The sequence below is a fragment of the Homo sapiens genome, chromosome 5 (genome assembly GCF_000001405.40).
Source record: "Homo sapiens chromosome 5, GRCh38.p14 Primary Assembly".
NCBI classification, from domain to species: Eukaryota; Metazoa; Chordata; class Mammalia; order Primates; family Hominidae; genus Homo; species Homo sapiens.
The window spans coordinates 68,179,571-68,200,830 of record NC_000005.10 but is presented as its reverse complement, the minus strand read 5'-3'; the positions used below and the strand labels follow the sequence as shown (position 1 = coordinate 68,200,830).

Here is a 21,260-nt window from a genome sequence, read left to right as displayed (position 1 = left end):
GAACTGAGTAATTGCAATAAAAACTGTATGACCCACAAAGCCTAAAATATTTACTATCTGGTTCTTTACAGAAAAAGTTTGCTGACTCTTGCAGTAAATTATACTGGAAAATAATAGGGACTGTCCTTCTCCCGCTTTAAAAAATAAAAATGCAGAGCAGGTGTGGTGGCTCATGCCTGTAACCCCAGCACTTTGGGAGGCTGAGGCGGGTGGATCAACTGAGTCAGGAGTTCAAGACCAGCCTGGACAACGTGGCAAAACCCGATCTCTACTAAAAATACAAAAATTCGCTAGGTACAGTGATGGATTACACTGAATGAGAGGTGCAGGCCAGGACTAGGACTCAATTCTGCAACCCACAGATCTGTTATGTTTCAGTTTCAAGTTTCAGTTAGTACCATGGCAGGGATTTGTTGAAAATGAGTTAGGAGCAAAACTGGAAAGAATGATAGATACCATCCAGTGGATGAAGAATGAAGTTAAAGTTAAGTACAGGGGGGCCAAAAGGAAGGAAACAGGGACTGTGCTGATAATTGGGGCACAACAGCCCCCAAGACAAACTATATCTGCTTCACAGCTTTGTCAAGGGCTAGCCCTGGCAGGGCCACTCAAGCCTGCTTGGACTCCTAGTCTCTGACTTCTGTTTACACTGATGTGCATTGTCTACTGGACACTTAAGAATGGATTATTTTATAAATGTCATTAGCCATATATATGTTCAGTCCTAACTAGATTATAAATTCCTTGAGGGAAAGTCCATTTAAGTCATGACCACATGGGGTATGGTCTGTCTCTCTTTCCTGCAGGAGAAGGCTGTACACTGGGAAGTCAGAAGGAAAGTATTGGCCTGATTATTTCCTTACATTTTTCAATGTCCTTCCACAAGAAGGCTCATAAGAGATCTTTATTTGTGATCATTTTCATCACCAGTAGTGTGCATAGCCCTCATTTCATCTTAGAGCTTCAAAAGAATACATATTGAGACCAGCTTCTTTATGACTTGTCATCTCACATGTTCTCCTTTATTTCTAAAGGAACAAAGTACATATTTTCCCAAATGCAATTGAAATTTCAACTCCTGCTATTTCTTTTAGAGCTTTGGAGAGTCTTAGTGTTAATCAAATGAAAATGAAAAGAACTAGAATTTGTTATATAATTTTCCATCTACAGAAATGCAAATGATATTTAAAATTAGGATAATTTCAGAACTAGTGCATTGCTTTGTTGAAAGAATCAGTTCAAACATCATAGTTCATATCATAGACAAATGCAAATCTCTTGGCATACATCATTATCAAATATAAAATTTTTAAAAATTTGGAAATTTCAGCTGCCTTAATAATAATTAAAAAAAAAATCCACTAGTTCAGGGAGATGAAATATTTTGCATAACTATCAGCCTTTTTAGGATTGTCTTCAGTTAGATCTTGAGGATCACACATGTTAATTTACTTAGTTGGGATGTAATGGCAAACTTGCATGTTTTGCTCAGTCCCTGCTCTTTTGGGTCTTGCAAATCAAGTCCTAAGGGAATCCCCTGAGACTATCAAGGGGGGTATCCATTTTGGCCACAGTTCAGTAACATATATGAATCAAAGTGGGATAGTTACAGCTTTTTCCCCAGCTCCGACTTCCTGGCTACAGTGGATTGGTCTGAAGAAGGACAGATAGTCTACTTGAGTTTCTACCCCAGGATTTTAGGTTTTGTACTGAAAGAGTTAAGATTGTTTCCCTCTGATGTCTGAGCTCTAGGGCTTAAACCTCAGGAGCTGTCACTTGTCATATTTTTGTTCATGTTAAGAAGAAAAGTGATGGGAGCTAGTTTCTGAGAACAGAGAAAGAAAAACAAAGCAGATGCACAAGAGAAGAAGAGCTGGGGAGAGGGAACTGTGAAGTCATGAGTTCGTGATTCTAGCTTTTCCTTAACTCTAGCCACAGATTTATTCTTATATTCCATAAGATACCTTTATATTCTTATAATAATGTTATTTTTGTTTAAACTCATTGGAGTGTGGTTTCTGTTACTTGGCATTAAATATCTTCAGAAATACATAATAGACCGGGTGCAGTGGCTCACGCCTGTAATCCCAGCACTTTGGGAGGCTGAGGTGGATGGATCACCTGAGGTCAGGCATTCAAGACCAGCCTGGCCAACATGGTGAAACCCTGTCTCCACTAAAAATACAAAAAATTAGCTGGGGGTGGTGGCGGGTGTTTGTAATTCCAGCTACTCGGCAGGCTGAGGCAGGAGAATTGCTTGAACCCAGGAGACGGAGGTTGCATTGAGCCGAGATAACACTACTGCACTCCAGCCCAGGTGACAGAGTAAGACTCTGTCTCCAAAAAAAAAAAAAAAAAAGGAAATACATAATATCAAAAATTTTAAAGAGAAGATGAAACAAATAGTTTTGCTAAGAAAGTAGTTATACTTTATGAGAAGTTTATTTTCTTATCAATAAGCTTCTTCAAGTTACAATCGAGGGCTGATTAAGTAGGCCAATGACACGGACTTAGCATGTTCAATAGTTCAAGATTGAGTGAGTTCAAAGGTATTTTTATTGTTGCTTTTGTGGTTATTGTTGCTGTTGTGTGTTTTAATGAATAATCCTTAGCAAGGACTGGTAAATGAAGTACGGGTGACCTACAGAAAAGAGAGGTAAAGAACATGCATGACAAAATGAAAGCAAACCTCACATGCCCAAATGAAAACGTACCCTCACTCTAAACATTTCTGATTCTAGTCCTCGTCCCTGTATCAACAAGTGGCACAATTATCCATCTTGTGTGAGCAGAACACTGATAGTCATTTGCTCTCTTTTTTCCCATTATAGAATCCATCATTTCATCATTCTGCCAGTCTCAGTGTTTTAACCAACTAAAAATCTTGTAAATATATGTATGTTTTTCATCTCCGTTGATGCTACCCTAATCCTCACCTGCACCATTTATCAATAGCAGTCACTGGCTAGACACAGTGGCTCATGTCTATAATCCCAGCACTTTGGGAGGCCGAGGCGGGTGGATAACCTGAGGTCAGGAGTTTGAGACCAGCCTGGCCAACATGGCGAAACCCCATCTCTACTAAAAATGTGAAAACTAGCTGGGCGTGGTGGCAGGCGCCTGTAATCCCAGCTACTTGGGAGGCTGAGGCAGGAGAATCACTTGAACCAAGGAGGCAGAGGTTGCAGTGAGCCGAGATTGTGAGATTGCACTCCAGACTGGATGACAAGAGGGAAACTCCATCTCAAAAAAATAAAAATAAAAAAATAGTTGTCACTGAATTGGTCTCCTTTTTGAACTCTCAATCACTAGCATTGATAACTCCATGGTTCTAGCCAGAGGATGCTTTTTGAAATGTAAATCTGGAAATGGCTTCCAACTCCCTCTAAAGATTCATAGCATACATATTATCTTCAAACATTTTAGTGACTTCTCATTGCTATAGGTCAATGATTCTCACCCTTGTTTTCATGATAAAATCACCTGAAAGCTTTAAAAAAAATACTTATGCCTGGTTCTCACTTCCAGAAGTTTGGATTTGATGGTTCTGGAATGGGATCCTTTAATCAGTATTTTAAAATGCTTTGTAGGTGGTTCTGACATGTAGCCGAAGTTGAAAATAACTGCTCTAGGCATACAGGCCAGAATCCTGATCACAGGCTTACACAATCTTGCCCCCGCTTACTTCTCTTCGCTCGTCACATATCACACCCCCATCCTCTGTTCTCCAGCCATGCTGGTCTTCTTTCGGTTCCTCAAAATCACCACACTCCTTCCTGCTGCTGACTGGGCTTCTGAGCATGTTCTTTCTGTGGAGAACATCCCTGCTTCTTCCGATCTCAGCTCTGCACCACTTCCTTAGGGAAGCCTTCCTTGATCTCTCTGACTAGGTAAATTCCAGGTCCTGGGGTCATCAAACTCTGCACCTTTTCCTTGTGGCATTTGTCACAGTATAGTTTTATATTTATATGTAACTCTTTGAATAATGTTTGTCTTCCCCACTAGAGTATAAACTCCGTGAGGGCAGGGACCATGTTGCCTTTACTCTCCACTGTTATCTCTGCTCTCTATTCTACATTGGGAATGAAGGAGACTCTCTATGTGTTGAGTGATCAAGTGAGCAGTTCGTGATGGGGAGGGTAATGATTACTGAGGGTATTACCGAGGGTAGCCCAGCTGGTTGAGGAATTAAAATTCAGCACCGGCCAGGCGTGGTAGCTCATGCCTGTAATCACAGCACTTTGGGAGGCCAAGGCGGGTGTATCACCTGAGGTCAGGAGTTCGGGACCAGCCTGGTAAACATGGAGAAACCCCCCTCTCTCCTAAAAATACAAAAATTACCTGGGCATGGTGGCCTGCGCCTGTAATCCCAGCTACTCGGGAGGCTGAGGCAGGAGAATCACTTGAACCTGGCGGGGGCGGAGGCTGCAGTGAGCCGAGATCATGCCACTTTACTCCAGCCTGGGCGAAAGAGTGAAACTCGGTTAAAAAAAAAAAAAAAACAACTAATCAGCACCAAGATGTTTATTACAAAACCAATAAAAATATTAAAGGGAAACCCAAGTCTTGAGCGGAATGGACAGTACGAAACTCTAAGGGACATGTGGTTGATGGTTAGGGGAGAGGGTGGAAAAAGGCTCTGGAGAGCGGAAGATCTGGAGGGGAGGCCTCTGACCCAACTGGATCTGGTCTTCCATTTATCCCCTGTAGTATTCTACCTGAGACGCAAGGGGTATGGTCTGAAAGCAGAAAAGAACCTTTGCCCAGTATTCCCATAGGACTTGGCAGTGCAAGGCAGCACCTCTATGGGATCACTGGGCCAGGCTGTGTGTTTGTTTGGGTGACAGAGAGAGGACTCACCCAGCAAAGAAACACCTAGTTTGGTAGTTAGTCTTGGAACCACACTCCCTACTTTCAAATCAAAGTGACCTTAGGACAAGTTACTTATGTTCTCTGTGTTTCTGTTTTCAAATTCTAGCATGGGGATAATAACAGTAACTACCTCACTGCATGTCTAAAGATTATATGGATATAGTCTCTTTGGCATAGCAGTTAAAAATTTAATGAATTCTATCTAAAACAAGCACAAAGATCCTTCTTCAACCATTGTTTTTACAGTTTTATTTCTACTCTAAGAACTCTGCCATGTTTTCCACTTTTGCTTCTGTGTTGGTAGAGCTGCAGTTGGAGCCCGGGTAATTGCATGCTATTAACCTCAACAGCACACAGCCTCCACCATGCAAGCCAAACTTGCTAGCATCCATGAGTAAAAGCTACTGGTTTCTGAATAAGACCAAAGTGAAGCACATTTATGATTCCTGAATTTCATATAAATCATAATTGTGCAGATGATTTGCCTTCGAGCTGCAAACACCAAAATGTGATTGATGTCTGAGAATGTCTGTGAAGCTTTGCTGTAACTCCAAGCCCTATTAATACCTCCGATGACAAGTCTATTAATTCATGAAGTGAAGATGGAGAGCTCGCACCAGCATTCCTTCCTAGGATGGTCACAGAATCAGTAATGTTACATAGAACATCCTCCCTTTGGTTTCATGTTATGAGTGTACATTGTATTCCATACAGGGACAGGGATAAGGGATAATGGGGCAGGGATAAGGGGGGCATCCCATTTATTTGCATGCCCCAAAATGAAATGCTCTGAGCAAAGAGTAAATCCTAAGGAGAACTGGGTACACCGTACATATTTGGTAAAACAGGGTTAACCAGAAAATCATTTCTATTACAAACACACAAATTCTATGAAATTTCAATTTGACTAGTGCTCAACGGAAAAGGAGTGTGATAGTTAGCTTTATATGTTGACTTAACTGACCATGGGATGCCCAGGTATTTGGCCAAAGATTATTCTGGGTATTTCTATGAGGGTTCTTTTGGACAAGATTAACATTTGAATCAGTTGACTCAGTAAAGTAGATTGCCCTCCTTAACGTGGATGGGACTCATCCAGTCAGTTGAAGGCTGAATACAGCAAAAAGGCTGGTGCTACCATGTGTAAGAGGGAATTTCCTTCTGGCTGACTACCTAGAGTTAGAACATTAGTTTTTTCCCCCACTGCATTCAGGTTCTAACAGAAACATTGGCTCTTTCTGGGTCTTCAGCCTGCCAGCATTTAGACTAGACACACCATCAGCTCTTCTGGTTCTCAGGCTTTGGACTCAGACTGGAACTATACTATCAGGTATCCTGGATCTCCAGCTTGCTCACTGCAGCTCTTGTAATGTGCCAGCTTTCATAATCACACGAGTCAATTCCTTAAAATAACTCTCTTGCCCCCTACACTCACACCACACACCACACACACACACACACACACACACACACACATCCTATTGGTTCTGTTTCTCTGGAGAACACTGACCAATACAAGGAGCTTAGAAGGTTTTTCTGCCTTAGTAAATACAGGAGGTCAAATGTTATCGAACTTTTTTTTTTGGTAATGAAGACTCAGAGTATTTTGGAGAAATACTAAACATTGTGAACCTGAGTCATTCCCCATACAATGGTGTTAGGAAAAGAAGCGGAATTAACATGTACTGAGTGCTCACTATAAGCCAGACATTCACACAAACATCAATTCAATGAATTGACTTAAAGAAATGTTGACTGACCTAAGAAATTAGTTCCATATACTAGCTCTATTATTCACCTTTCCTAATAAATATGAAATTTTCCAAATTGAAAAAGTCTTGAATATGGTCCTGATACAAGCTAAGGAAAGAGCCTTCTTTAGTTAAGGGAAGCTTGGCAAACTTCAAAGGAGAAGGTGTGATTTCTTTTCTTTTGTTAATCAACTGGGTGATCACTTTAAAAATACTATACTTCCTGACAAAACTGCATCATTGTGATGCAAAATAGATGACTTGGCATTTTGCATTCCTGACCCCAAAGGGCTGGAACGACGTCTTACATCAAAGTATGATGGGTTGCCCCCTGGAAATACAATGGATCACTGTTGCAGGTTTAGGCAGGCTCAGGGACATCTCCATTTCCTCACAGGCTTTTTGTAAATCACAGGAAGCCTTCTAGACTCAGCACTGCCCCAGACATAGAAACTACAAGATCTTATTGCAAGGCATGAAGAAAGGGTCAGGAAGTTAGTTTTTTTGACCTATATCTGAAGAGAGCAACTTGGAGTCCCACAGCCTCCTGGTGAGATCTTTCTGGGTCTTTTCTTTATCTGCCTGATGGAATAAATAGAAAGGTCAGGGAGGAAAAGAATTCTTGCTGAGATCAACAGGTTGGCAGAAGTATCACTTCCTCACCCTCATGTATAAAAATGACCTAACGCCCACAATGTCCCTGCAATTTTTGATAAAGTCATAACCCCAAACAGTAACCGAGAAAACAATATTTTGTTATGGACAAGAAACAATGCCTGGAATTGCTTTTGATAGCAAAAACCGCAAATACTTTGCACCAACATAATACAACTAGAGACCATACCTTTATCACTTGGTTAGGTCACTTAACTTCTCTGGGCTTCAGCTATGAAACTGGGGTGGGGTGAGGAGGGCTGGGAGGTACAAGGTAAAGGGTGGGACTACAGGATTTCTGAGACTCCTTTACCTTGGGAAAAAAACCAAGGTTTTCTATTATCTATATATATAGTTGTATTATCAGCATGATAAGCCATCTAACTTATCAAAAGAAAAATTTGGCAGCCACAAAATCCCTCCTTCATGTGGATGGCAGGAGTTCATGGCTTGTCAGCCTTTGGTTCAGTTTAACAAATATTTGGCTGCATTTGCTGTAACACATACCCTGTGCTAGGTTCTGGAAGCACAAAATGAACTCAAAAACTACTGGGGTCTTTAGCTAAAGAGAATACATGCTGAGCTGTTTGCGAAGAAAAACACAAAAGCACATGTATGGCAGTTTAAAAATGTATCTGCAAGTTATTTGATACTCCTCCCATCTAGAGAGGTCCAATCTTAGTGACTCAATAGGAAACAGTTGAACCTTGTAGTGATGCTGTGTGATGTCTGAGGCTGGCTGGAAAAAGCCCTTGTCTGATTCTCTTGAGCCTTTCTGGAGAAAGTCTTCCGCCATGTAAAAAGTCTGATTACCCTGAGACAGCCATGCTGGTGTAGATACGCTTATTAGCCTCTGCCAAGCTCACTGCAGACATGTCAACTGCTGGACCTATGGCAGAGCTGGGCCTCAACTGCTGGACCTATGACAGTTGATCCTTATGTCACTGGAGCCAGAGTCAACATCTGACTGCAACTGCATGAGAGAACCCAACAGAGAGCTGCCTGGACTGAGTACTTCCTGAATTCCCAGAAAACCGTGAACAAAATGAAATGAAGGTTTTAAGCTACTGGTTTGGGGGAGTAATTTATTATGTAGTAATTGTTAACCAGTATGGTATCTTCAGTGATATTATTCTTAAGATAACTCATTCAGGCCCTGCGCGGTGACTCATGCCTGTAATACCAGCACTTTGGGAGGTCAAAGAGGGCGGATCACTTGAGGTCAGGAATTCAAGACCAGCCTGGCCGACACGGTGAAACCCCATCTCTACTAAAAATACAAAAATTAGCCAGGTGTGGTGACAGGCGTCTTGTAATCCCAGCTACTTAGGAGGCTGAGGCAGGAGAATCGCTTAAACCTGGGAGACAGAGGTTGCAGTGAGCTTAGATCACGCCACTGCACTCCAGCCTGGGCAACAGAGTGAGACCCTGTCTCAAAAAAAAAAAAAAAAAGAAAGAAAAAAAGATAAGTCATCCAGAATCAAAGTTAATACAGAAACATTTATATTTAATTATTTTCCCCAATGGTTATAGACTATGCTCAAGAAGAGAAAGATAACAATGGTGTAATTGACCTAAGAACCTCGTAAACTGGATCATGCAATGTTTTAAATGACTTTTTTTTTAAGTATAACCTTGAAAAGCAGCTTAAGTTTCTTCAAACTAGAAATATATTCATGGAACATAAGTATTCTGAAAAAACAATATTCAATTTAAGAAAAATAAAACAAAGATGACCCTTTAAATTACAGCTACAGTTGTCTTATTTCACATTATCAGTGCTTTTCAGAACAACTGAATTTTTTGTTTTTGTTTGAAAAAAAAAAGTTATCCTGAGACTTTATTTACTCTAACCACAGTGAAACACATTCTGGTCTGGTGATCAGAGGAAAAATACAGGAAGATAAGCATAGACTCCTGCCTCCCACCCCTCCAGCCAGATTGTGTGGCACATGCTCCTCCCATGTTAAATTCATAGAGATTTTCAATACTATAAGAATTCAAGTACTCTGTTCAATTAAAGGGTGGAGCATGATCCATTTCCCAAGAATAGTAGCTTCATGACTCTATGGACAGAGCGCTTGTCTAAAGATGCAGGCTCTAGTCACTGCAGAAAATGCACTCTAACAGGTGACAATTTGAGGGCCTACCTGAGAAAGCAGCTAAAATTGCCTCTTTATTTTGGTTTCTCTGTTTGCTAAGTTGTAATTACAGCCCTGACCAACCTTAAGAGTCACTGTGACCCCCTCAGGGCTGAGTTTGCACAAAGTCTCCCTCCCATAGTACAAGGGGAGCTGCTTAGGGGGCAGGAGGCAGGGAGAGGTCCATTCCCCATGGTAGGGCTTGGGGGATGTAGTTGCCCCCTCCCTCTCCCTGTCTCTTGTTGTTCAAAAAAATGATCTTAAACTACAAAAAAAAAAAAAAAAAAAAAAAAAAAAGAAAGAAGGAAAGAAAGAAAGAAAGGAAGAAAGAAAGAAAAAGAAGTCAAAGTCACTGTGTAGGTTGGGAAGGCTGCAAACTGGTTAAGAAAAATCAGTGTGGGAATTAAAAATACTAAATTAGCTTTGCAAATATGATACTTTTCAAAATTAAGTAAACCTGCTTTTTTTAAAAAAGGTTAATCTTTAACATTTGCATTCATCATGGCCACATGTGCTCGCGCTGCTGCCTGCCTTTTGCCATCTTAATTGCAATATTCACATATAAGTAGGGTAAGTGAATGTGTGTGGGTGGAGGGTTGGGGGATGGGCTCAAGCAAATAAACATAAAACTCACTCAAGGTCCTTTTGGGCTTGACATTAATGAATGGAACAAGTGGGGAGATACTATTTTCATGACTGCACTAACTACGTGTGGTATGTAAAGTCCATATGAAAAAAAGACAAATAGGCCAGGCATGATGGCTCACGCCTGTAATACCAGCAGTTTGGGAGGCTGAGGCAGGTGGATCACCTGAGGTCAGCAGTTTGAGACCAGTTTGGCCAACATGGTGCCATCTCTACTAATAATACAAAAATTAGCTGGGACTGGTGGCAGGCACCTGTAATCCCAGCTACTCGGGAGGCTGAGGCAAGAGAATCACTTGAACCCAGGAGGAGGAGGTTGCAGTGAGCCGAGCTGGTGCCATTGCACTCCAGCCTGGGCAACAAGAGCGAAATTCCGTCTCAAAAAAAAAAAAAGAAAAGAAAAAAAAAAAGTCAAATTAGGTGTTATCTAGACAACAAACAAATTCATAGTTCAGTTTCTTTACATGGTGAGTCCTTTTTTTTTTGAAATATGCTTAAAATATCAAAGTTTGCCATATACCAAACTTTTTAAGGAATATCTCTTATTACAAAAACAAGGGCAAGTTTGTATCCAATAACATTGGTTCCCAAGCCTAGGAAAAACAGACATTTTAAAATACACTTGCCTTTTTTTAAAAAAATTAATCAAACTGTTAAAATTTCTCCCATTATGACTCCTTTTCCCCTATGTTTGTAAGGTCTTATTCTTCTCTACTTCGCTCCAAGTTCCCTTCCTCTCTGAGATCTTGGGATGTTCTTGTGAATCCTGGTCTTACCTTGGCTGGGCCCTCACTCACTTCACTCACTTCTCTGCATGCAATTCCAAAGCTATGCTGAAACTACTTGCTTATATCCTGTCTTCCCCATTAGACTGTGAACTCCAAGGGACCAAGGCCTGTGACTTATTTATTCATCTCTACGTTTCCATGTCCATTGTACAGCCCTGTGTGCAACAGGTGATCAAACAATGCCGAGTGTCCTGTCATTGGACCCTTCTGCTGTCACATCGTTAGCTGTGCATTTCTAATATGCAATATGTCTCTTCGCTTTAATCCTTGTGATTTTCCACTGGATTCTTTTGAGTTTTGATTCTGAGGTTCTTTTTTTTTTTTTTTTTTTTTTTATGAGACAAAATCTCGCTCTGTCACCCAGGCTGGAGTACACTGGCTCACTGCAACCTCCGCCTCCTGGCAATTCTCATGCCTCAGCCACCTGAGTAGCTGGGATTACAGGCACGCACCATCATGCCTGGTTAATTTTTGTATTTTTAGTGGAGAGGGGGTTTGGCCATTTTGGCCAGGCTGGTCTCAAACCCCTGGCCTCAAGTGATCCCCACCCCACCCCCTCTGCACCGCCTCCGCCTCCCAAAGTGCTGAGATTATGGGCGTGAGCCATCACATCCGGCCTGATTCTGAGGTTCTTAATTAAGAAACAGAAATCACGTCAGCTGATGTGAGGCTTACGGAAATTGGTGTGTTTGTGTGTGTGTGCATGTGTGTATGTGTGTTTATGTGTGGGTGTGGGTGGGTGGGCTGAGCATTGTCTCCCTTTCTCTTGCTTTGCTCCTAACTTCCACACCCCACCCTCACACTCTATTTTCATTCCTTCTGATTTCTCTTTTTGGAGCACATCTGAAGGTGAGAAAACTTCATTGTATTACTATATTTGTACTTGCCAAATACTATGCTGAATCCAGCTGCAATTCTTAAATGATTCTGAAGAAAGTGGTATATATCTAGTGCAAAATACATTTCCTTGTAATCTCTAACTATAAGCATCCTCTTCTAGTTTCTAAGTATGGCATGGTGTAAATAAAACTGTCTGAACTTTTTCTAGCATAAAGAAACATAGCCTAGAAATATTCCAAAGTCAGTACAAATCACCCTTTTAAGAATATCTAATGGCATGGGGAATGGTTACCAGAAGGAAAAAAAAAAAAAGCATGGTATAAAGCTAAGTAGGATTGAATTCCATTTAGGTATGTTCATTTTTTTCTCTTTCTTTCTGTGTGTGCACGTGTGTATGTAAAGATTGAAAGGTAATACATAAGAATATAAGCAAGTGCTAATTGAAATCATGGGACTTATAATTACTTTCTTCATTATACTTCTTTTCTGCATCTTCTCAATTTACCAAATTATGATGTACTTTTTAAAACAGAAAAACACACACACACACAAAACCCCTGAAAAATTCAAAAATGAAATAGAGTGCGACATTTAAAAGGAAATCTGTTTTATGTATTGTAGCCTGGGAAAAAGGGAGAGCAAAGGGACTTTTTTAAGTGTAATTTTTAAAATGAAACATTGTTTTGAAATTTGCAAGAGTAGAATAGTGTATTGAGCTTCCATTGGCTTAACCAATTAACCACACTGCCATCATCGTTTCGTTTATTTCCCCCTCCCCATTTTTCCTTCCAAGCAGTTTTGGGTTTTTTTGTTTGTTTGTTTTTAAGGATGCCAGTTATGCCTTAATTCGGTCGGATATATTTTATGTAACTCGGCTTTTTTTGTTTGTTTGTTTTCTTTCAGGATACTTTAGAGAGCCTCAAAGCTAACGTGAGACAGCATCTTGGTTCTGCAAGGACGTGTCCTTCAACCCAACGCCCCCCACCCCCACCCAACCCCAAGCAAATATCCTGTTGAAGTCTCCGTGAACAAACATCTATCAACAGAAAAGCGATATGGTATTTACTCAACTTTTCTTGTGTCCCTTGGGTCGGAGAACAGACTTCAGTGTCTAGGAGAAAGCCCGGCCTCGCCGGGCCTGGGCAGCCCAAGCTGCCCCATTGTGATTCAAGATTCGGGGTGTAAACAAATGCAGTGTTTAACAATCGCCAGTTTGCTTTTAATGTTTTATAGCCATGACTGGGGCTCAGGAAGAACACAGTAGTGTCTTCTTCACTGGAGCTGAAGTCGAGGCTTTATGTCGGATTTGGGCAAGCGGCACTGGCAGCTGCAAGCCCTCAATGGGCGCTTTCTAGTCGCAGAGCGGGCCGCCGCCGCGTTGCTGGGAGCCGGGGCCGGAGCAGCTCGGGAGGGAGCGCGGCGGGGGCAGGAGGAAGCAGGGCTGCCCATCCCGGGCCAGGCCCCCATCTCCCGTCTCCGTGACAGGTGCTGCGGAACAAGGAGAAAAGGGAGCCCTCCCCGCCCGCTCCCAAGCCCGGGCTCCGTGTCTGACACTAACTGTCGTGTTTTTTATTGCCTTTTTGTTTCAGGAATACAGGGCATTGGCAGGCAGAGATGTACCCTGTGGCTTGGGCTTTCTCTGCAAGGCCAGTGGGGATGAAACCAATAACAAAGACCCTGACTTTGCTTAATGACCAAGACTCACTTAGATAACAAACCGGCGCTGCTGTTGGCAGAGAGCCTTCTAGATGCTCAGTACAGTGTGGCCTGTTAAAGTGGGAAGGAGGACTTGAAGGAAAGAGCTGTTTAAGTCATATTTTCTTACAGCCAAAGGAGATTATCTTCTCTTGGTTTGGACGGATCATTATTTGTTACTGTTTATTATTAATCGTGATTTCCTGAGAACTTTTATGTTCCGGATACCGAATCACATACTTTATATTCACTCACTACAATCCTGCAAAACTTTGTTGTTGATTTTCTTTTTTTAATAAAAGAGAAAACTCGGCCGGGCGCGGTGACTCACGCCTGTAATCCCAGCACTTTGGGAGGCTGAGGCGGGTGGATCACCAGGTCAAGAGTTCAAGACCAGCCTGGCCAAGATGCTGAAACCCCGTCTCTACTAAAAATACAAAAAAAATAGCTGGGCGTGGTGGCGGGCGCCTGTAATCCCAGCCACTCGGGAGGCTGAGGCAGAGAATTGCTTGAACCCGGGAGGCAGAGGTTGCAGTGAGCCGAGATCACGCCACTGCACTCCAGCCTGGGTGACAGAGCGAGACTCGTCTAAAAAAAATAAAATAAAGTAAAATAAAATAAAAGAGAAAACTGAGTTTCACAGAGGTTAAGTAATTTGTCCAACGTTATTACACAGCTTATAAATAGTACACCCGAAATCCAATCTTGGTATGGCTATAAAATAACTTTTACTCTTTCCATGAGGAACGTATAGCTTATGCCTTATACATTTCAAATTGAAGGTGCCAGGTGGCTGTGGCTTAGAACAGGTGAGTTGGCCATGGGAAAACAAAGTAAATTAATAATTCACATACGCTATAATATCTGCTCTGAGTTTTTTTTTTTGTTGTTTGTTTGTTTTTTTTTTTTTGAGACGGAGTCTCGCTGTGTCGCCCAGGCTGGAGTGCAGTGGGGCGATCTCGGCTCACTGCAAACTCCGCCTCCCGGTTTCACGCCGTTCTCCTGCCCTCAGCCTCCCGAGTAGGTGGGACTACAGGCGCCCGCCACCACGCTCGGCTACTTTTTTGTATTTTTAGTAGAGACGGGGTTTCACTGTGTTAGCCAGGATGGTCTCGATCCTCTGATCTCGTGATCTGCCCGCCTCGGCCTCCCAAAGTGCTGGGATTACAGGCGTGAACCACCGCGCCCGGCCAGAGCGTGGAGATTCCCCGAGGCCGGGGCTTCGCGAGGATGGGACCGGCGTCCCGGACGCGAGGGGCGGTGGGGCTGGCGGCAGGGAGCGTGGGAGGGAGGGAGGGAGCGAGCGCACGGCGGTGGGGGCGGGGCGCGGCCAACCGGACCCCACCCACACACACAGGAGCTTTTCACTGCAGATAATTTCAGGAAAAATTCAGTTAAGGTAAAATCATTAGGCAGAGTTGAAAAAGCCTCCCTTCCCAACATGTAAAGAATAAGAAAAAACACTATAGCCTGGGCTTCGTGAGCCTATGCAAAAATGTGTAATGCCATCAGGCCATTGTCATTCTTATTTTAAATAACTACTTATTCATTAAAAAAATTGTTTTAGGCCAGGCACGGTGGCTCACGCCTGTAATCCCAGCACTTTACGAGGCCAAGGCGGGTGGATCACCCGAGATCAGAGTTCAAAAGTAGACTGGCCAACATGGCGAAAACCCATCTCTATTAAACATACAGAAATTAGCCAGGCGTGGTGGCGGGTGCCTGTAATTGCAGCTACTTGGGAGGCTGAGGCAGGAGAATCGCTTGAACCCTGGTGGGATGGAGTGGCGCGGCGGAGGTTGCGGTGAGCCGAGATCACTGCCACTTCACTCCAGCCTGGGCAAAAAAGTGAAACAGAACAGTTTGAGATCTAAAGAACAATTGAGGATACTATAGGGTTCCCATCAACCCTCCAGCCAGTTTCGCGTATTATTGACATCTTACGTTTATAATGAAATTTTTTATAATTATTGAAGCAATATTGACATGCTATTATTACCTAAAGATCATGATTATTCAGATTTTCTTAGTTCTTACCTAATTCCTTTTTCCACTCCAGGATCCCATCCAGGGTACCACATTATATTTAGTTGTCCTGTCACCCTAGGCTCCACTTGGCTGTGAGAGTTTTTCAGACTTTTGTTAGTCTTGATTATTTGATAGTTTTGAGGACTACTGATTATTAATTTTGAAAGAGGTAAGAGGGTACCCCCCCTGTATTGAGATTCGTCTGTTGTTTTTCTTATGATTAGACTAGGGGTAATGGATTCTAGAAGACCACAGAGGTAAGATACCACTTTGTCACATCAAATCAAGGGTTTATACTATCTACATGATTTATGACTGTTGCTGTTGACCTTGATCACCTGACCGAGTAGCGTTTGTCAGGTTTCTCCACTGTAAAGTTACTTTTTTTTTTTTTGCCCCTTTACATATTGTATTCTTTGGAATTCACTATGAAGTAGGGCTCTCATTAGCAAGAGTCTTGTTCATTTCTCCCAATCTCTCAAAATGATCTATTCTTATTTAGCTTTATTTGATATTATTTATGTTTTTCAATCTCATCACCTCTACTTCTATTCTCCAAATTATAACTGACAAATTATAGACTTTCAGAGCTCAGAGACAATGTATTGCTCCTTGTTCTTTTGGGGCTTGATTGCCAAAGCCAGAAGAAACAGAAATACATGTATTGGAAGAATTTTCTATATTTCCCCAAAGCAAGGAAACAGTCATCATGGGGCGAATCAAATTGTTGGGTATCCTGACATTTATTTTAGGACCCAGTTTTGTTTTTATTTTGAATTATATAAAAGGTGGGCGGCCAGACACGGTGGCTCACACCTGTAATCCCAACACTTTGGGAGGCTGAGGTGGGTGGATCACGAGGTCAGGAGTTCGAGAACATCCTGGCCAACATGGTGAAACCCCGTTTCTACTAAAAATACAAAAAATTAGCCAGTTGTGGTGGCACGCAGCTGTAATCCCAGCTACTCAGGAGGCTGAGGCAGGAGAATTGCTTGAACCCGGGAGGCAGAGCTTGCAGTGAGCCGAGATTGCGCCACTGCACTCCAGCCTGGGGGACAGAGCGAGACTCCATCTCAAAACAAAAACAAAAAGATGGGCATAGTTGTTTTAGTATCAAAGTCCTAAGGACCCCTCATATTTTGCAAAGAAATTGGAGAGGGAAAGTGAGTTGTCCCAAGCCACAGAGTTTTATTCCAAGGAAACAAAGTCCACTTGCTTCGAAGAGGAACAGGCACAGATTTCCCTACAAAACACAGAAGGTAGCTGATTCTTTGGTGATGATGAGGCGGAAGACAAAAATGATGAGTAGGGGTAGAAGTTTGAGAAGGAGGTAGTACCATTTCTTCAGTGTTTTATACAAACGCATTTGTTTGGATTTCTACGGTATTTATAGGAGAAAAGAAAAAATAAACATAAAATAACCTCTTAGATGTAAGTACAACTGTTATCTTCCTAAACATTTCAAATTATAATCACTTCTGCCTATGGGCTAATGAGGGCATTTTTCTTTGTACACTTCTATTTTGCTTAAATGTTTTAAAGTATATTTTTGTAAATTTAAACATTTTGTCACTTAATTAAAAACTATGTTAGAAATATAACCAAAAATTGTCTGATGGTCAATTTATTTTAGTGGAAAGAAAACTGAACAAAGTTAGCAGTGTGCCTTTGACCTTGAATTGATACTTAACTAACAATCTGAGTGCCAGTCCCAGACAACTTAGGTATATCTTGCCTGTAGATCATATCTAGCTAAATTTTTTTGTGAGTGGGAAAATTCAGAAAGCGGAGTTCAGTTTTTTTTTTTTTTTTTTTTTTTTTTCAAAAGAATCTGCCCCCAAATCAACATATTGTAAAGGAGCTGGTAGGCAGGATGGATTAGGCTAAATTCCCCCCAGGGAAGAACATAAAAGATATTCCTCAATGGAAAATACACTGAGGCATTTTTAAAGGAAGTTTTAAACAGATATATTTATTTGATTAGTTTTATCCAGTGTGCAGCAGAGGACAACAAATAGCTGTTTTCTGCTGGTGAAGGGGATGGGCAAAGGACTCACATTCATAAAGCTATAATTGGCACACGTGGCAGTGGTAAGGAGAGGAAAGGAAAAGGCAATGATGTAGCCTAATGTGTCTAATCTTTTCAAGAGTGAGAATCCCCTTTGAAAGCCAAAATTGGGCCAGGCATGGTGGCTCATGCCTGTAATTCCAGCACTTCGGGAGGCCAAGGTGGGTGGATCACCTGAGGTCAGCAGTTCCAGCCTGGCCAACATGGTGAAACTCCATCTCTACTAAAAATACAAGAGCAGTTGTCTTATACTGTCCAGTTATTGACTAAATAAGAATTATAAATTATAAATTAGGGATGATATTATCACATTATCACACTATAGCCTTCTGTATACATTTGAAAAGCCAGTGGCATATATGTGTGAAGACATGCATCTGGTAAGTCTGTATAGAGTGTTTGCTGCATAGATCCTTGCAGAAAGCCCTGGGACCACAGGGGCCCCTCACCAGGAAGGCATATGCTGCTACTTCTGTCTCTCCTGCTCCCATGCCCAGCCCTGTGTTCCTGACCTAGGTCTTCTCTTCTAGTAGGGGAGCTGTTCTACCTGGACTCCCACTTCCTCCTTGTGTCTTCAGAGAATGTGAGAAGGAAGTGCTGATAGAGCACCACGTGGGCTGATGGTTTTGACCTGGCTGGAGCTCTGGTGCCCTTCCAAAGTCCAAGAGACTCTTGGTAACATTGGTTATTGCCTCCTCTGCCCCGCCACCCCGCCCCCTCAACTCTTTGGAAAGTGTGACAACCCTGAGAGTAGAGGGTGGCAAGAGGGGCAGCAACAGTAGGGAGTGTCATCCATCTCAGAGCCTTGAATCTGTCCCACCCCACAGCACAGAGCCTGCTCAAGGGAAAGAAGGGTGTGAGCTCTGGGTTCAGACTTACTCCAGAGGTTGTTCACGGGTTACATTGTCCCCTTCTGGTTCCTTGGATATGACGCATGGCTTTTTGGTCCTCAGTAAAGGCCTTGGTTCTTGGTGGATCTGTCCTCCACTCCCACCCCTAGGTTCCCTCAAAGGCAATTCTGATTGTCTACCAGGAAGTCCTGGGGAATATTCAACACTTCCCCCTTCCCACTTGCCCACATGGTTAGCTCACTCTCAGCCTGGAGGGTGGAACCTGGATTTATAAAAAATCTTCTGGGTTTCCTTCCTTTCATTCTCCCTGATCCAACACCAGCAAAAACAAACCAAAATGCAAACCTGTCCCACTCTTGATTGATACTAAAACTCTAACATTGGAGATCCTTGGTTTAGGCTTTGACCTTTGATGAAGCTTGCAAATACCCTTAAAAACAAAAGTCACTAGTTAAGCCTTATCAGTAAGTTACCACAGAATGAATTTATCAGATCCTTTCCTGGTGGCAGATTTCAATAATGAAAGGATGGAAAGAGAAACAGGAAAACCTTCCTCTTCCTACTTCCATCAACAGTCAGAAAAAGGAAAAAGGGAAAACTAAAGGTTAGACAAATTAAGATTAAAATTAGGGCTCTTGCCCTATTGCCTCCCTGATTTCATGGTATAGTCATTGTAAGTTCTTTTCTAGAGCAGATACACGCAGATTCGTGACAGACTGTAATTTAGATCACACTGGAGGTAACCAGAGTGTAAAAAGACACCTGAGAGATGCTGAAGTTGGGGTTGGATGGGAAGAGAATCAGTGCCATTGAGACAGTGAGCTGTGAGCCCATCAGTGGAAGTTAACACTTAGCACTCACTAGGTTCCCTGATGGTGTTTTATGTAATTTATATCCAAGAGATAAGTGCTGCTAAAATTCCACACTTTACGGGTGAGCAAATCAAGGCCCAGAATGATTAGATAACTTGCCCAAACCATTCAGTAAGTGGCAAGGCCAAGCAATGAAACCAGGTCTATACTATGAACCAGAGGTGGAGCCAAAGCACAGCCTGGTTTTAGTTCAGCCTTTAGCTGTGTGGCTTTAGGGCAGGTCAGTTGACCTCTCTGGCCTCACTCAGTTCTTCAACTATAAAAGGAGAAAGTCAGAGTAGATGACTCTGCTCTGACATTTGAAGAATCTATATGGAACACATCTGGCTATGAGACTTGACAGCCTGTGCAACTATTACAGTTAGGCTGAGGGTAGAGCTCGTTCCTCCCCACACCCACACCTCCGCCTCCAAGGTTTTATGCCTTCCTTTCCTTATCCTCACTGTTAGTTACTGTGGATGTGATCATAACAGAACTGATAGGAGAGGGTGTTTCTGGTAGGAGTCTAAAGACTCCTAGGGGGAGGGAAGGAGCACTGGAGTCAGAAAGAACTCTTCAAACAAGAGTTTGAAACTTGCCTGAAACTAAATAGCAGCATGACCTTGGCCAAGTTAATTATCTTCTCCTAGCTTCAGCTTTCACATCTGCAGGAATTAGAATAACCACTCAAAGGGATTTTGTAGATATTTGGTAAGATAATGTATGTGAAGGATCCAGGCCAGTGCCTGGCACACAGTAGGTGCTCAGTAAGTTTTAGTTCCAGTTTCATCATTCATCATTCTCCCTTCCTAACAGGTGACAAGCAGAGTCCAGAGTCCTTGTGTCAGTAGGGATGTCATGGGATCTCTTTCCATGTCCCTGCTTTCAAGACATCTCTTGATGTAGGTGAAAAGGAGTTACAGCCTTTTTGTAGACCCCTCTTGAGGTATTTGCAGAACTCATAACAATTCTCTCTTCTTTAAGAATGGCCCTGATACATACAGGCTTTCAGATGCAAATTACAAAACATACACCTTAAGTAAGATTAAGTAATAGAGGAAATTTGCTGAAAAGCCAGCAGAAAATAAGCTTCAGGTGAGGCTTACTCCAGCAGCTAAGTGGAAGGACTAAAGATGTGGCTTATCTTTCTCTCTCTCTGTTCTTCCTTCCAGGCTGCTGGATTAATACTTAACTCCCCTCAAGGTCACCAGCTGGCTACCAGCATTTCCTGGAAGGAACTGTGTGCTTTAAAACTGACATCCAGCAAGGCAGAAAGAGTATCATTGCCACTGTTTTCAGCAAAAGCTCAGAAAGTCACTCTGATTGAACAGGTTTAGGTCATAGGTCCTTCTTTGAATCAATCACTACATCCAAGGAGATGCTAATTGGCTTAGCCAAGGTCATATGCTTCATCTTTGAGGGGAAAGAGACAGTATATTTCTTGGATTCCCAAACAGAAACCAGGTGTTCTTGAGAAAGGGGAAGGTAATAAAACACATGTCTGATGGATACCTGAAGAACTTTGAACATGGTTCTGAGCTCACTGGAGCACAGTCACATTAATGGTCTTGCTCCAAAGACTGGGACTGAAAATCTTGCTTCTGTTCCCAGAGCTGTTCCACCTTTTATCTGTACCCAAGGATGTGTGGTTCAAGGCCTTCTTTTAATCGGTAGGTGTTTTGGCTTTCTATTACTCCCTAACAAACCACCTCAATCTTACTGGCTTAAAAGAACCACCATTTTGACCTGATGTGGTGGCTCATGCCTGTAATCCCAGCACTTTGGGGGGCCGAGGTGGGCAGATCACCTGAGGTCAGGAGTTCGAGACCAGCCTGGCCAACATGGTGAAACCCCATCACCACTAAAAATATTTAAAAAAATTAGCTGGGCATGGTGGCAGACACCTGTAGTCCCAGCTATTCAGGAGGCTGAGGCAGGAGAATTGCTTGAACCCAGGAGGTGCAGTGAGCCGAGATGGTGCCACTGCACTCCAGCCTGGGCAATAAGAGAAAAACAACAACAACAACAAAAAACCTCTGTCTCAAAACAGCCACCATTTTATTATTTCACAAAATT

General features: G+C 42.4%; 1 long non-coding RNA gene across 1 annotated transcript, besides 3 other annotated features; it reads right to left on the bottom strand.

Moving 5' to 3' along the window:
- Positions 1–2,423: 2,423 nt before the first annotated feature.
- LINC02219 (long intergenic non-protein coding RNA 2219) lies at positions 2,424–10,955 on the bottom strand. The gene is made up of 3 exons (NR_105003.1): positions 10,840–10,955; positions 4,342–4,461; positions 2,424–2,641 (listed from the first exon to the last, which is right to left on the bottom strand). It is a non-coding gene; the product is annotated as a long intergenic non-protein coding RNA 2219 (long non-coding RNA).
- Positions 6,733–7,272: an enhancer, noted in NCBI's record as "OCT4-NANOG-H3K27ac hESC enhancer chr5:67489387-67489926 (GRCh37/hg19 assembly coordinates)". NCBI's record gives its function as "activates a minimal SCP1, AML or CMV promoter by ChIP-STARR-seq in primed H9 embryonic stem cells {active_cell/tissue: H9 hESC(primed)}" and the evidence as "EXISTENCE:reporter gene assay evidence [ECO:0000049][PMID:30033119]".
- Positions 12,545–13,088: an enhancer, noted in NCBI's record as "NANOG-H3K27ac-H3K4me1 hESC enhancer chr5:67483571-67484114 (GRCh37/hg19 assembly coordinates)". NCBI's record gives its function as "activates a minimal SCP1, AML or CMV promoter by ChIP-STARR-seq in naive H9 embryonic stem cells {active_cell/tissue: H9 hESC(naive)}" and the evidence as "EXISTENCE:reporter gene assay evidence [ECO:0000049][PMID:30033119]".
- Positions 13,089–13,632: an enhancer, noted in NCBI's record as "NANOG-H3K27ac-H3K4me1 hESC enhancer chr5:67483027-67483570 (GRCh37/hg19 assembly coordinates)". NCBI's record gives its function as "activates a minimal SCP1, AML or CMV promoter by ChIP-STARR-seq in naive and primed H9 embryonic stem cells {active_cell/tissue: H9 hESC(naive and primed)}" and the evidence as "EXISTENCE:reporter gene assay evidence [ECO:0000049][PMID:30033119]".